The sequence below is a fragment of the Homo sapiens genome, chromosome 7 (assembly GCF_000001405.40).
Source record: "Homo sapiens chromosome 7, GRCh38.p14 Primary Assembly".
NCBI lineage: Eukaryota > Metazoa > Chordata > Mammalia > Primates > Hominidae > Homo > Homo sapiens.
In genome coordinates, this window is record NC_000007.14 from 134,907,175 (window position 1) to 134,923,551 (window position 16,377).

The 16,377-nt window shown below is 38.9% G+C and overlaps 1 protein-coding gene across 48 annotated transcripts in view, besides 2 other annotated features; it reads left to right on the forward strand.

Annotated features, from left to right (window-relative positions):
• CALD1 (caldesmon 1) overlaps window positions 1-16,377 on the forward strand; it is a 259,231-nt gene that overhangs the window by 195,676 nt on the left and 47,178 nt on the right. The window lies entirely within an intron of this gene.
• Window positions 1,277-1,326: a silencer, noted in NCBI's record as "silent region_18674". NCBI's record gives its function as "represses an Ori minimal core promoter by ATAC-STARR-seq in GM12878 lymphoblastoid cells {active_cell/tissue: GM12878}" and the evidence as "EXISTENCE:reporter gene assay evidence [ECO:0000049][PMID:35858748]".
• Window positions 1,337-1,386: a silencer, noted in NCBI's record as "silent region_18675". NCBI's record gives its function as "represses an Ori minimal core promoter by ATAC-STARR-seq in GM12878 lymphoblastoid cells {active_cell/tissue: GM12878}" and the evidence as "EXISTENCE:reporter gene assay evidence [ECO:0000049][PMID:35858748]".

The following is a 16,377-nucleotide window of genomic DNA, read 5'->3' on the forward strand; positions in this document are numbered from 1 at the left end:
ATAGGATTAGTGGGACAGCCTTGCTGACACAGATCATAACAGGGAGATGTCTCATTTTGACTTGGAAGTTGCACTGATATCATAGAAAATAAAAAAACCAGGTTTAACTGTTGGTTGGTACCTTGTGAGAAGAGGAAGAAGGTGATAAGAACTAAGATCAGAGCATAGTAGAGAAAGTAGCCCTGTAAACAGAGGAGAAGCAGAAAGAGAGAAGGGAGGACAGAGCTTTTATTTTGCTCCAGGTTAAAAAGAAAAAAAAAAAGCACATTACAACTCTATGTTCAGGTGTCTGTCCCAGGTCCTAGAACTGGAATAGACCAACCAAGCCCAACCCTTCTTAAAAGTAAGACTAGGTGCTTCCTGATTATATATTCAACTGCCTGGAAGCATGCAAGTAAAATTTCCTTGATGGCATTTCTAAGTTTCAAACATATTCTTCCTAAAAATGCATTTACAAAAAATATTAGGATTGTGTTTTTTTGGTTTGGACTTTAAAAAAAAATTGTTTTCAAAACCATAATTGTGGCCTACCCCAAATGGATTCTCCTCCCTACAGTGAGGATTTCATTTTTCCAGTCCCCCCCCGCCTTTTCATTTTTGATGAACTGCACATGTTGTGGGAGCCACTCGTGGGCCCTCAGACACGAGCAATCCTTCTGGCCGCTGCCAGTGTCCTAATAAGGGAATGAACAAGCGCCTATTGGTGAGGGAAGGGGAGTCAGGCGGTGGATGATATTTTTGCTGATTAAAGAGGATAAGGTGTGGTTTGGCAGGTATCTCATTGGTTTGGCTGGCTCCAGACCTAGGTTTTTTCTCTTTTTTCAGTTTGAATTCTGTAGAACAGACTGCTAAGAATTGTTTTTTCACAGATCTCTAACTGAGCTTTAGGAATATCATGCTGACACAGTTTATCTATGTTGAAAAAAGATAGGAATTTGGGGTTACATGATGTTTTCATTAAAAGAGGTTGAGGATATAGGTTAAAATCTTCTCGGTCACCAGGCGATGAAGGTGATACTGGACTTGATCAAATTTAGTCATGGAGAGAACAAGGGATATACCATTGGATATATTTAACACATGTTTAAAAAGTTTTAAACATTTATCTATGCAACAATATTAAGTAACACCTACTTTTGCTTGTAAATATTTATATTCTCCAATTTTAAAATAATAAAAGAAACAAAAAGAGCCTGGCACTTAGGATCATAGTGATGAGTTGCTCATCTATTTCCTGTCTGATCACTAAATACCTGCCAGTGACTCCTCTCTCCACTCTATTTTCTGAATGACTCGACACTGCCTTTTAACTTAACTGCATCTGGTCCACAGTGTTCTTAAGTCACTCATTATACGTCAGTGTTTCTCACATGAGCTGCAGGCTGGAATCATTTGGGGAGCTTTCAAAAGTTCTAATGTCTAGATCAGACCTCGAGCAGGATTCTGGTTTAATTGATTTGGGGCATGGCCTGGGCATCAGGATTCTTAGGCACTTCTCCAGGCAATTCTAATGTGCAGCTGAGGTTGAGGACCTCGAGAAGCAACTGCTACTCTGAAATGCATCCTCTATTGGATCATCTGGCCCCGTAAAGGGCCAGGCAGTTTTTCTTCCTGACATTTTGAAACCTCTCAAGAAAATACTATATATATATATATATGAAACAAGTTAGACAGGTTTCCTCCCAAGTTGGTAGATTCAGTTCGGTTGTTTAAAACTCAACAGTAGAGAATTGTGCTTTCAACCAAAATCAACTTCTAGACACATGGGTATTGTTTAAACTTTATTTTCCATGCATATAAGGAGTGAAGTACTCTGCCAGGTAGTTGAAAACAGTATCCATTTCAAAGTCATAAGTAATGAGATGAGATTTTTTATATTTTCTCTGTGTCCCTGCAAGTTATTCATCCCTTGATATTTAATTTAGTTAATACATGCCTCTTATTTTACTTTTTCTTATAATATTAAGCCAACTTCACATCCTGGAATTGTGAAATTGCTGTAGCAAGGATAGGATGATATGATCGAGAAGTTTAAAAAAAATTTTCAGATTATCAATTTTTAAAAGTAAGAGGATATGGAAGTGCAGTGCCTGCATGGAGAGAAGTTTTGAATTTTGAAAGAATTTTGGATTAATCAGGTGTCTAGAATTACTCATTACTCTCAGCTTCCTTACTGGATATTTCATTACCAAGGAAGAAGGCCATTTAGAAATTCAGGAGTGCAAAGGCTGGGCGTGGTGGCTCACGCCTGTAATCCTAGCATTTTGGGAGGCCAAGGTGGATGGATCACCTGAGGTCAGGAGTTCGAGACCAGCCTGGCCAACACAGTGAAACCCTGTCTCTACTAAAAATACAAAAATTAGCTGGGCATGGTGGCAGGCACCTGTAATCCCACCTACTTGGGAGGCTGAGGCAGGAGAATTGCCTGAACCGGTGAGGTGGAAATTGCAGTGAGCCAAGATCACGCCATTGCACTCCAGCCTGGGAGCCTGGGTGACAAGAGCAAAACGCAGTCTCAAAAAAAAAGGAACTTCGTTTGGAAGTGCAGACTGAGCTGGGAATATAAATTAGAGAATCCTCACCTTAAAACTGACAGACAAGTTATAAACATAGATGATATTATCCAAGGAGCATATGTTGGATAGGAGAAGAAAGGAGTTGAGGAAGAAACCCAATAAAAGGTACAAAAGAAACTACAAAATAAATTTAAAAACAGAGAATCTCAAAAAGGGAGATGTGGTCAACAGTGTCAGAGCTCTCTGTGGGATCAAGTAAGATTGAGAGCACAAAGGGACATTGGACAATTTGTCTCAAAGGACAGCTTAGAAAGCACAAGCCCATAACACAATGTCATTTTGGAGTTAGGGCTACTAATACCTGGATCAAAAATATTGAATATAGTCAATATAGTGTTCCGATATATTTAATAATGAAACTGAACTGTTCTTTTGATATTTTGATCAACTGGTCAAGTGATTAAGATGTCTGGAACTAAAAATCACTAGCCCCGTAGAGATCCATCTCAAGATGATTTTAGGTCAACTACCAAGTAGGTTAAACTAACTGATAAACCTAACTCCAAAATTGAATGTAAACTGACAAGACAGCCCGTGATAGGGTGGATTTAACTATTTTGGGCTATTAATGACTTATCCATTGAATTTCAGAACCAGTTTTGGCTACAGCACATGAAAATATTTCCAAAGGACTGCTAAATCAAACATGCTCAGTTTACCTAGTTGTACTGAGTTCTTTTTGCTTCCCACAGACATTGCAAAAGGCCAAAACTAACACTAGGCTTGATAGTGAAAAGAGAAAGAATATAAGAAATTTGCAAGGGAAGATGGTGCAGGAGGAGTTATGGAGGTAAAAAGGCATGTGCTGGAGTTGCAGGAAAATATAGAACTGCTCTATTCATGAGCCAAGCCAAGGCCAATCACATGACAATAAAAAAGACTGATGGCACATGCACACACGTACACACACACACACACACGCTCTTGAAGCAGGCCAAAGTCCACAGTCTCACTGGAAAACACCAGTTGACTCCGTTTGACTTTAGCACCTGATCATTGACTAGGTTCAAAAGTCAAATACTTTTCCTGTCCATAATCACTTGGTCTTCTTAGTAAGTAAAATATCCATTTTCCAGCTCTGAACTCAAGGGGATTTTCTGCATATAGTTGCAACATAATGCCATCTCCAGAGAAAGTAACATGGGAATGAGAAGCAAAGAAATGCATTAAAACATTTGCATTCTGGACCAATGAGCAAAATGCACCAAGAACCTACCTAAGCAAACACTGGCAAGAAAGTTTGTGGCTAGTAATTGCTTCTGACTATTGGCAGGAAGGAATTGAAAGAAGTGCAAAGTGTTGGGGGTTCCATCTCCTGTATTTTTTTCTAAAAATTCTTCTGTCTCCAAGCCTAGCTTTTAGTAGGCTGCCGCCGCCACTCCTCGGTTGGTTTAATATGGTTTTGTCATGATGATGAAACTGAAACCTGAGAGGTCATTTCCTTTTTCTTTTTTTTTTTTTTTTTTTTGGTGAATGATCAGGCTTCACCTTCTGGAACTGATGGTCAGAAAGCGAGCCCTGCAGCCCATAGCAACATGGCAGCAGGTGTAGCCAGGTATTCCTGGTTCATATCCATGAGCCAGTATGAAGTGTCTGCTTTTAAAGCCACTCACAAAACTTCCAACAGAGTGTATGTGTGCTCTGTGTGTGTGCACATGCTTTGGTTTTGGGGATGACCTTCTCCCGCCTCTGTTACTGAGAGAAGATAAAGCTGTAATAACTTTAAACACCATTTTTGCAGTAAATACTCATAAGCCTAGCATAGAATTGTCAGCCTTTCCCTACACATGGACTGGAGTCATATTTCATTGATCTGCCTTTTAAGGAAGCACTGTTGTTCTGTATATGACACTAAAACTTTTAAGTCTTGGAGTATTTGGCCTTTCCATGTTCTGATTTAGATGAATCCACATGAGCTTAGGCAGTTCACCTCTTATTCAGGTATAGGTTAGCCTCATGATGGCTATTGCTTTGTGTTTTAATGCCATATGCCTTTCTTGACTGCAGTTAACTAAAAATACTTATTAAATCCCTGCTTTATGCAAGGCACTTTGAGAAGGGTGCTAAAAATGTATAAAACTTGACTTGCTTTCAAGAAACACATGCCATAATATGGGAGATAATACACAAATAACAGCAATAGAGCAATATGTGATAAATAACTGGAACAACCACAGAGATTTCAGAGGCATTAAAGAGCTCCTTCTAGTTGACTTCCATGATGGAAGAATGTAGCATTTGAGCTGACATTGATGGACAGATAAGCGGGGTCTCGGTAAAAATGGAGAGAAGGAAAGAACCACTTAAGTGTAATCAAAGAGAGCAAGAGAGTATAAAATGAAGTTGAAAGAAAAAGAAAGAAAGCTTTACTGATGTTCGTTATGCTTTCTGGCACGAGCACCTCCCCTCAATTTCCGACCCCATGTGACTGGTCCTGAGAGCATCACACAAAAATAGTGCCCTGGAAAAATGGAACATGAGTCCCCTGCACCCCCAGAGGGGAGAACAGTGGGGCCTTCGCTTGGCCCTGTCTTTTCAGCATTCTGTGACTCAAGGCAGTTTACTTGACTGGGTAAATGGATTTACCAGTGGTAAACCTTATCTAGTTTAAACTTCATGAAATAGACCTGTACTGAGAAGGATTTCTGCAGAAGCTTCAAGCAGAGGTAACACTAATAATGCAAACCCAAGGCAACGCTGACACTTACACACGGAGAGGACACTAATGCTTGTGAACGCAGACCAGTGCGTCCTCAGCTCACACTTTACCTGTTCCTTTCAGCAAGGTGAGTTTACAGCAGAGAGGGGGAATCTCACTGCTTTTCAGAAGTAACTCATGAGAGAACAGATCTTTTGGAAAATGGCAGCATTTTTTTGTGATTTTGCTGGTGAAAAAGATGTAAACATGTAACCTATCAAGACTATCATATCTTCATACTCCACCTTGGAAACATTTTCTAATGTATTTAAAAATCTCCCCAGTGAAGAATTTCAGTAGGTTTTGAAACTATTTATTTAAAATGTAAAATTGAAACACCTTGGGATTACTTTGAACTGGAACAACTGATTGACATCAGGACAGACAATTTTTGATACAATTTTCTAGGCAAATTGTATCAAAAAATTGTGCATGGTTAGTGGGGCAGATTTAAGATATTAGTACTGTGCTTCCACCTGTCAAGCCAATTATGTGTTTCTTTGTATATCTTTGGGGATTAAAAAAATTAAGCGGGGCTGAGCGTGGTGGCTCACATCTGTAATCCCAGCACTTTGGGAGGCTGAGGCGGGTGGATCACCTGAGGTTGGGAGTTCAAGACCAGCCTGACCAACATGGAGAAACCCCGTCTCTACTAAAAAAATACAAAATTAGCTGGGTGTGGTGGCACATGCCTGTAATCCCAGCTACTTGGGAGGCTAAGGCAGGAGAATTGCTTGAACCAGGGACGTGGAGGTTGCAGTGAGCCGAGATTATGCCATTGCACTCCAGCCTAGGCAACAAGAGTGAATCTCCATCTCAAAAAAGAAAAAAAAAATTAGGCTATGACTGTCATTTAAAACTAAATGCCTAAATAAACTGAACTTAGAACCAGACCTTCACATTATCGATTACAATGCATTCAGCCAAGATGTTTCAAAAATAATTAAAGTTTTATGAACATTAATAGATTAAATTTAACATTACTTTAAATGTATCTTTGTTTTATTGTCATTCTGTCCTTTTAAATTTCTGTTCATTGTGTTTTGTAATGTCTACAAACATTTAAATAACACTACATGTAATTTATAAATGACTATACATATACGTATAAATGTATATGCATACATAAATGTATATATCAGTGTTATTGGTGCATGCTTAATTTTTAAAATTGATTGTAGTATAGTATGAAAAGTCATTTAGAAACCATTGGCTTAGATCATGGATCACCAAACTTTTTTGTAAATGGTCAGATAGTATATATTTTCAAATTTGTGAGCCATACAGTTTCTGTCATAATAATTGAGCTCTGGCACTGAAGTGCAAAACAGCCATAGATGATAGAGGTGTGGTTGTATTCCTATAAAACTTTATTTGCAAAAACAGAGTGGGCTGGCTTTGGCCTGCAGGTCATAGTTTGCCAATCCCTGGCTCAGATGACTGAAGCTCTTTGTTAGTCTCCAGGGCACCCTAAGAAAGCTTCCTATTGTAGAAAGAAAACAGGTATAGGAACTTGAAGACCTGGGTCAATCCTGATTTTGTAATTACTTTTATGAGTCATTTCACCTCTTAGATCCCAGGTTACCAAGTATAAAATATAAAGCTTGAATTCGAAATAATGTCAAAATTCCTTCTAGTTTCATTAATCTATCATCTTAGATGCTCACTACCTTGCCACAAGCAGTGGATTTCAGCTGGGCTCTGAATGGAAGCAGAATAAGTGAAAATCCAATTTAATACGAGGTGGGCAAAGTGAGTTCAAAACAGTGGAGAAGGTGACAAGAATAAAAAAGGACAGAAATTCCATTCTGAAAAATGTAAAGTCACAGCTTATGGCTCTTGAGGGGTCCTCCATGGTGCTGCTGTTCTAAATGATTGTAGGACTTGCTCAACTGAAGTCTCCTCTTGCAGCTAAGATGGATGGGATCCTTGATATGGGGTAGCTGGCCCTAATTTCTTTTATTTCTTGGGGAAAGCTGCAGAGTGAAATGAAACACCTGGAGTGGAGATTGAAACTAGAAAATGTGTGCTGCCCTTCCGGGACTCCCTTCCACAGGGCCATAGCCTTTGGAAAGAGCCTTATACTTCGTTAAATGATTGGTCTGCTCTTCTCAGTTCTTCGAAGCCATCTTTCTGTATGTACCAAGCACGATTGGCGCCTCACTAATGCCCTTCATGCCTTCCAAGCCCTAGCCAGATGGAATTGTGTGCTTTTCCATAACCATATTTCCCGATTCTGCAACCTTGCTATTTGAGCTTTCTGTACATGGAAAGGTCCTCTTTCATTCCCCCAGCTCCCAATGCTAGCCATCCCAAAAGAGCCAGCTTGAATACCACTTTCTTTATGAAGCCTCCTCTGATCCCTTAGCTGGAATTGCCTTCTTCCTCCTCTAAACTTTAAATCACTTTAAGTCTTCTGTAATATTTACCACATTCTACCTATTATCACATCCTTAACAGGTCTTAACTTCCCTACAGATTATGAACTCCTTTCAGGGGTTGAATTTATCTTGGTTTCTGCCCTCACTGGCTTGAATGGAGTAAATGTTCAATAAATATCTGTTGAATGGATGTGCTAATTCCAGCCACCTGTGTGTCCATTTCCAGGTTATAGCAGCAAGCATTACCTACCAGCATCCCACAACCGCAAGTTCAGACTCCACCTTGGTATCTGGCAGATGGTTCTGAACAATGGTTTGCCACCTCCTCCTCAGAACCTAGGCCCCCATGCCTCCTCCTCGGAACCTAGGCCTTCATGCAGCCCCCTTGCTGCCCAGAGCTCACCACTCTGATGACAGTTCTGAATTGAACTGTCCTTGCCTCCAAGTCTAGGTTCCACGTGGATCAGTCAGGGAGAGGAATGTATACCAGATTAGCAACCCATAAGTCAGTGCCAGTGCTGTCACTTTGTAATTCAGAAATATGAACTTTTTTTTTAAGTCAAGTCAGTGATCTTCACCACTGAAGCAGTTCCTCCTGTATTAGGTAACAAGTTTAAGGAATTAATGATTACATTGGTGATCTAGTCAGAAGACAGCATAAGCCTTATTGGTTAGTAAACTAATCTAACCAATGAATTAGGATGGAATTGCCTTGTTGGGATAGAAATCTGTTCCAGGAGAGACAGGAACCCTCAAGTCATTTAAGTGCTGTAGAATGTCTCTAATGCTCATGCTCCCTCTCTCAGAGTCCTGATTCCCTGAGTCTTAAGCTGTTGGTGATTCTAACTCAATTTGCACACACAAATGTGGGTGCTTAGTTATTTAATATTATTCTATCTGTTAAAACATTCACATTTTTATAGGGGTCTTCTATTAACTCAAAGGGAGTCTTTAAGCATAGAAGATTCTACTTGGTTTGGTTTGGTCAGGCTGGCTTTTTACCAAATCACAACAAATGGGTGTTTGCTTTTCTCCCTCCACATTGAGCAGGCCCTGTGTTAAGCAAGGTTTCCACTGATTTAGGAAGATGATCTATCAAGAGCAGAGAAGACTCCTTGACTTCTTTTCTCAACAGTAGGGAGATGGGACCCATGAGCAGTGGTTGACTGCCAAGTCCCCTGCAAGAATAAATATTCTCTTCAATGGGCAAAGCATCCATGATTTGGCCCTTCATTTCCCATTTCCTGTCTCCACTCAAGGTTTGTCTTTTTACTTTCTGCCACTTGTACACAAAGCTCTCCAATGCTAGCACATGGAGTGGGGGTATGAGCCAACTGGATGTTAGATAGGTGTGTGCAGGACCTCTGGAGTCAGGCAGGTAGGGTTCACCCCATTCTTGTTAGAATGGCAGTGACTTCTTCCCTAGCAGAGCTAGCAACAATGCCCCAGTGTCAGATCTATCATATATTACAGTTTCCTGTCTGAAGAAGAGATGAGGGGTACAAGAGGGAGGAACAAGATGGGAGGCAATGCCACTCGAGTGGAAAGGAGCCCTGGGAAGGAGGAAATGAATAGTAAATCTTTTTCCAATTAAGAAAAATGAGAGTGGAAGCAGAAAAGCTCCAGAGGGCACTTTTAGGGGAGGGAAAGATCATAAAAGGCCTGTTATGAAAATCTATTACCCATAAATTTCCCCACATTAAGCAGAGCCTGTCTAGAGAGGATGCTGAGAATTCACTCAGCTGACACAAGATATGTGACTTGATTTAGTGGCATCCACATGCTGTGTACCGTTTCCATTGGCATGTCTGCAATACCACTTTCCCTTGCAGGGATCCCCTTTAATTACTCGCAGGCTTATAATCTCCATTTAAGGACATCTTGCTTCCATTTTCCAATCGCTTTATGTCTTTTGTCAGATGTTTACCGATGTGATAGTGGTACCATAATTTGAAGCTCAACCACATGAGATTATGGACTTTAGTATTGCATCACATGAACATTTCAGATTTAGGGATGAGTCGAACTTCTAGATCACTCTAAATATAAGACTTATCTAAAAGGAGTTCATATTTTTTACATTTGAAGACGACAGTGGAAATTTCTCTTTCTAGGTGATTGTCTTCAGATACGAAAATAATGTGCTTGTTTATATACCTGTGGTCAAATGTCATTGCATCCAACTTAGCCAGTAGAAATGTGAGAATATCCCTACATCCTGCTCTGGAGCAGGTGTGATTCAGTTGCATATCCAGATCTAGACCTCTATGCAAGAGAAAGAGCTGGAAAAATATAGTGCTGCCAGCCATCGACACCTGGGTCTGAACTGTTTCCTAATGTTTTACTTTTTTTAAACGACTAAGCCCAAGGTTTATTGTCCACATCTACGATGCACATTAAAGCAAAATTGTCCTTTAATAGATAATAGCAGTCAAAGAACAGCTCCAACTCAGATTTTACTTTTGATTGACAACATTTTTTAAAAGCCTAAGTTCACTGAGGATCATATTTATTTAAAAAAAATTTTTATTTTTTTGAGACGGAGTTTTGTTCTTGTTGCCCAGGCCGGAGTGCAATGGCGTGGTCTCAGCTTACTACAACCTCCATTTCCTGGGTTCAAGAGATTCTCCTGCCTCAGCCACTTGAGTACCTGGGATTACAGGTGCGCACCACCACGCCCAGCTAACTTTTTGTATTTTTAGTAGAGACGGAGTTTCACCATGTTGGCCAGGCTGGTCTCGAACTCCTGACCTCAGATGATCCACCCACCTTGGCATCCCAAAGTGCTGGGATTACAGGCATGAGCCAGCACACCAGGCCTATTTAAAATTCTTACTCATTATTTAAGACTGTTATAAACAAAGAATTCTAGGTTGGGGATGAAGAAAAGGTAAAGTTCATGAAAACCCAGGTAGTAACTGGGCTTATCTTTTTTAGCCACATTTATACCAGTTGAATCTTAAATAATGATGGAAAGAGAGGAAGGAGTTTGGTTATTTTATTTTAATTATCTTCCTGGCCACTTAAGCATTCATAACTCCTTTTCATTCATTTCAGCTAAAGTTTAATTCAAGTAACTAAGTCAGGAGCAATAGATATCTTCTCCACCATCAACCCTGTCTTTCCTTACATATTCTTTGTAAACATTTATAAATTAAAAAGTGAATGTTTGTATCTGAGCAAGCTTATTGATTTAATAGGGTGGGGTAGATGGGGTGGTGCAAATTCTGTCCCTGTTTGTGGCAAGATGAATAGATTTTAGTTTATCTTAGGAAACTGTCATGGACTTATCCTTCCAAAATCCATATTTACTGGGGTTGGCAGATGCACTATTTCTTTTAAAAATAAATGTGAGAAAAATAGCAACTCAATAAAAGATAAATCCAGTTTCTATTCATTTTATTTGTACTGAATATCACAAACCATTTCTGGATGTTTTAAAAGAAAATGGCACCAATTGAAAAAGAAGTTAAACATCTATCCCATACAAATTATAATCTCAAGAAATGTTTGGAAAAGCTTGTGCCTCATCTGTTGTTATAAACTACAGCTATTGATATAAACATAGATGAATCTCAAAAACATCATGTCAAATAAAAGAATCACAGAATGCATGCAGTATTGTTATGCATAGTTTATTTAAGGCAACACTGAAAAATATGCTGTTTAGGGATGCATACCATGCTGGTAATACTACAAAGAAAAGCAAGAGAATAATTCAGAGATCTTAAAATTCAGGCTGGTGCTTATTTGGAGGCATATAAAAAGAGATAGGGATGCGATTGAAGAGGAGCACATAAGGATCCCTAACAACTGGTGCTGTTTACATTGGGTAGTAGGCACATGGTTGTGTGTCTGATTGTTCTTTAAAGTAGTCATGTACATGGCTAGGCGTAGTGGCTCACGCCTGTAACCCAGAACTTTGGGAGGCCAAGGCAGGCAGATTGCTTGAGCTCAGGAGTTTGAGACCAGCCTGGGCAACATGGGGAGACCCTGTCTCTGCAAAAAATACAAAAATTAGCCAGATGTGGTGGTGCACACCTGTAGTCCCAGCTACTCAGGGGGCTGAGGTGGGTGGATCACATGAATGAACCCAGGAGGTCGAGGCTGCAGTGAGCCAAGATTGTATGAGTGCACACCAGCTGGGTTACAGAGGAGAACTTGTCTCAATAAGTAAATAAATTAATAATAGTAATAAAACAAAGTAGTCATGTACCATACATTCATTTGTAGGTACAATATAAGTCATGATAAAAGTCTTTTTAGCTTGAAATAATAAACCCAAACAATTAGAATCCATCATTTTAAAATGTCCTGTGAATATGTGCATGGATTCAGAAATGAGCCTGTACGCTTGGGGATCCGCCTGCCCTGGAGCAGGATCATTCTAAAAACTGTCCTTTTATAACTCAGAGTCAGAATCAGAACTCTCAGTACTCCCTGGGTGCCTTCTAACCATACAGGACCCACCAGACCTGATCTATTTGTTGGACAGGATGTTCCAGTCATAATGATGCTAAGAACCAGACTGCTATGGTATGTGTAGACACAAGAAGAGGATTTTATGTCACCATGTACTCTGTTCTGCAGCATATTTCCCCTGTTAGGGTCTGTAATTATAGAAACTCATCCAATTATGGGATGTCACCATTGTATAAAGCAAATGTTGGGCTGGTGGTGACAACTTGTGAGTACATACATAAGAACACTAAAGCTTCCAAGTACACAGTGTTTTATTATTGAGAGCCCAAGTATGGTTGGTATGCAAACTTTAGTGACTCTCAAATATGTCTATGTATGGGGAGATGGGGTGGGAGAATGGGGAATAAATGAAGTGGGAAATGCTTTGCTTCCTTAGTAACTTTCTTCCAAGTAATATATCCCCTTGCATGCTCTCACCCCAGGAAAAGGCACAACACTGATACAGCAATGAACCCCACAATGAAATAATACAGCACTTTTCCATGAAAATTTTTTTTCTTCTAAACCAAGAGGGCTTTCTTTCACTCTATCCTGTATTAATAACAGACCAATTCACTACAGACTACTTACTAATAAATGTCTAAACATATTCTGATATGAAAAATATTTTTATTTTCTTGATTTTTTTTCCTCCATAATTTTTAATGCTTGCCTTTTAAGGAATCCAAGGAAAAAAATTCAGAGTTGGATTTTATGTGAATTAAATGAAACCACAACATTTTGCAGACACCACATATAAACAAAATCATATTTAAGAGCCTGGAATGTTTCTATAAACTTCTTTTAACTTTCAAACATACAGTAAATCTGCAAGGCAAATATGACTCATTTCAGTAGCTCAGGATTTTCCCTCCTGATCACAGTATGGTCTGAGATTTTGCTAAGAATGTTTGAGCAATTTATAGAGCTATTTGGATATGTTTGGAGAATGTGCTTGTATTTCATGCTATGAAATAAAATCCCTGGGGGTTTTGGTACATGAAAAAGAATAATGAAAGTATGTGTGAGTCATTTTGCCTCCAAATAGTTGATAAGCATGTTTCTAACCTACATGAGGTTTTTAACTTTTTAAGTTGGATCCCAAATTAAGACCCAGGTTCAGACAATGCCATTAGCAGAACCAATAATGATGGGAATCAAATAAAAGTAATTGACTAAGAAGTCATCCTTTTTTGAGGCTGTGAGCCCCAGGCATTCTTCTTTGGGGTGTGGCCTTCATGGGGAGTGTATTGCTGCAGAAAGCTGGGGACAGAATAGTGTTCTGGATTGAGTATCTCAGTTACCAGCCTGAAATCTCCATCGACCAACACTGCCTTCTCTCAAATGACTTCTTATATGAAAGTGGACAGACAGTGGAATGCAGAAATTTTAGAGCTGATCTTGGGGACCGGTCAACTGTCTACTGGCCAGTAAGTTACTATGAATTCAAAAATGGTGAACTTCAATAGCATTCATTCTGTCAGATAGTGAGTTTATTTGATCTGTTGGAATTTTAGGTGCAGAGTTCTTTTTCAAAATATAGGAATGTGCAGAAACAATTAAGGAAAACAGACTTGGAAACTTTGATCTGAATGGAGTCCTCTTTAAGTCTTTTATAACTGGGCTTCACTACAATACCTTGAGCCTTTTGTTTTCTCTGAGGCTTTTTCTCACTTAACCTGTGTGTCTGCATCTGTGTCTGCATTTGTGTGTGTGCTTATCAAGCACAGGGAATATTGAAGAACACAAAAAAGTTTGAAGGTGACAATTCAAAGTCTATCCACTGGCAATCTTGTAATCTCTTTCAATACAGCAATTGTTCTCTAGCGGTGAAGATTTTGAAAGAGATTCCCAAATTCATGTCCACACCAAGTATTTTCTGTAGTCTGATGAACAGTTGTCTCATGTATGAAAGACTGTTTTTCAAATAAGCTTATATGCACTGGTTTATAATATACAGATTCCTTTTTATGCACTATTGAATTTATAGATATTTTATAAAACACTTTATCAACAAATAACAAAAGTATAAGCAATTGTCATGAGATCTTAATTTTTTCATAATGTTTTAAAAGGATCCTCATTCTTAAGATGTTAGAAACCATTGCAATACAAGATCTAGAAGATTACATCTTTTCTCTAATCTTACCAGTTAGCAGTGGCTATCTTAGTGTGTGTTGATCCAACTTGGCTATTTGAAATGACAAAGCATGGGAATGTAAATTAAAACAACTGCTGTGGTCCGGCATGGTGGTTTACGCCTGTAATCCCAGCACTTTGGGAGGCCGAGGCGGGCGGATCACCTGAGGTCAGGAGTTCGAGACCAGTCTGGCCAACATGGTGAAACTCTCTCTTTACTAAAAATACAAAAATTAATTGGGCGTGGTGGCAGGAGCCTGTAATCCCAGCTACTCGGGAGGCTGAGACACAAGAATTACTTGAACCAGGAGGTGGAGGTTGCAGTGAGCCGAGATTGGGCCACTGCACTCCAGTGAGATTCTGTCTCAAAAAACAAAACAAAACAAAACAAAACAAAACTGATCTTTTAAATTTTAAATTTAAGTGAACACATACTATTTCACTTCTCAATATCTACCCTAAAGAAATACTTGCATCGTGCAATAGGGGAAAAAATGAAAGAACCCAAAATGTCTTTCTATAGAATGGTTAAACTGTGCTATCCTATTACATAAATGATGAAAATAAAGGTATGCCCTAGTGAACTGATTTTGGCAAGTCCTCAAACACATTATTAAATTTTTTACATGGCAAAATAACTATATTATATATCCCATGTATGTAAAAAATACAGCATTGCAAGATGCAAATCCAAACTTGATTAACTATTTGGTTATCTAGGTAATTACTCAGAGTAATACTGTGATTATCAACATAAAATAAGTAAATATTTGTACTCTCTATAGACTTAAACTGTTCTTTTTCATTCTCTCTGAGTCTTTAATGCTCCTAAACATGTAATAAAATCAGCACCCTCCCCATAAAAATGTCTATTATTTTTCCCTGATTTAATTTTTAAACATGGCTTCCTCATAAGAGATCTTGTCTTGTTAATAAAATACTATTGCCACAATTTTACTTGAACCTTTAAGGATGATGTCCTATAGTCTCAAACCAGAAGATACCAAAATGGAGAAAAGACAAAATGAAGGGAATAAGAGCAACATTCTTTAAACTACGGGGAACACGGAGTAAAAAAATCAAACAAGACGACCTATACTATAGTTGAGATGAAAATAAGAATTTTGCCAGTGTTGCAGAAGTTTTGAGAAATATTTGCTAGGGAAGCTGGGGTCGGGGGACACTGGGGCAAGAGGAAAACTCGTTCCTTGCTCCAGTGTCTTGCTACGGAAGCTTCTGCAAGTTCTTCTGGCTCTCGTCTGGCATATATTTAGACCCTGGCCCTTCCAAATGTAATAACATCTCATTGGTCTCCTCATTTGCCATGTCTGCAAGACTTTAATTCATTTGAACTTTCTATCTGAAAGGCACAAACTAAAACATGGTTATCTTGTTACTTAAATACACTGAGGCAGCAAGGCCTGGTGTTAAAGACCTAAAATATCTTCAGTGTAAAAGCCACAGCATTAGAAGAGAGCTTTCCCATTGCATATATATTTTTTTCTTATCTTGTAACACCAGGGCCCTTAAGCAATGGTTCCAGGAATGGAAGAAAAGCCAATCCTCTCTACTTTTTCATGCTACTCGTACAATCAAATAACATCATGTGGTTATTATGGACTTTTAAAATTCGTTGCATTTATTCGTCAGTGTGAACACACACACACAAGATTATTTCTCTTTCTCCAAAATATCCAATGAGCCATGTTGCTGTCAGCTGACCTTTGCTGCAGAAAGGTACCTTTCTCCAAGTGTTTGTGCCAACAGATGAGCTAAAAGCAGTTACCAAGTAACAAAGTGGAATACTCCACAATAAACCCTCTTCCAACCAGCATAGGTGGGAAGTTCATGGATTCTGGTCAAACAAACATTTTATTTCATAGAGAAGTACTTTATAGATCATTTGTGGATTGCCAGTTTTTTTAAAAAATAGATCCACAATAAAATGCATTTGATTTAAACTCTATTAAACAAAATTCAATAATTCTCAGATGATTCAGATAAACTTCAGGATCCCACACTCCTTCTGAATCATCTGGGAACATCACTTGGCTTTGTTCTGTAGCATATGGCAAACAGGTTAATACTGGCATCTGCTGAATTTTCACAGAAGGAACAAATG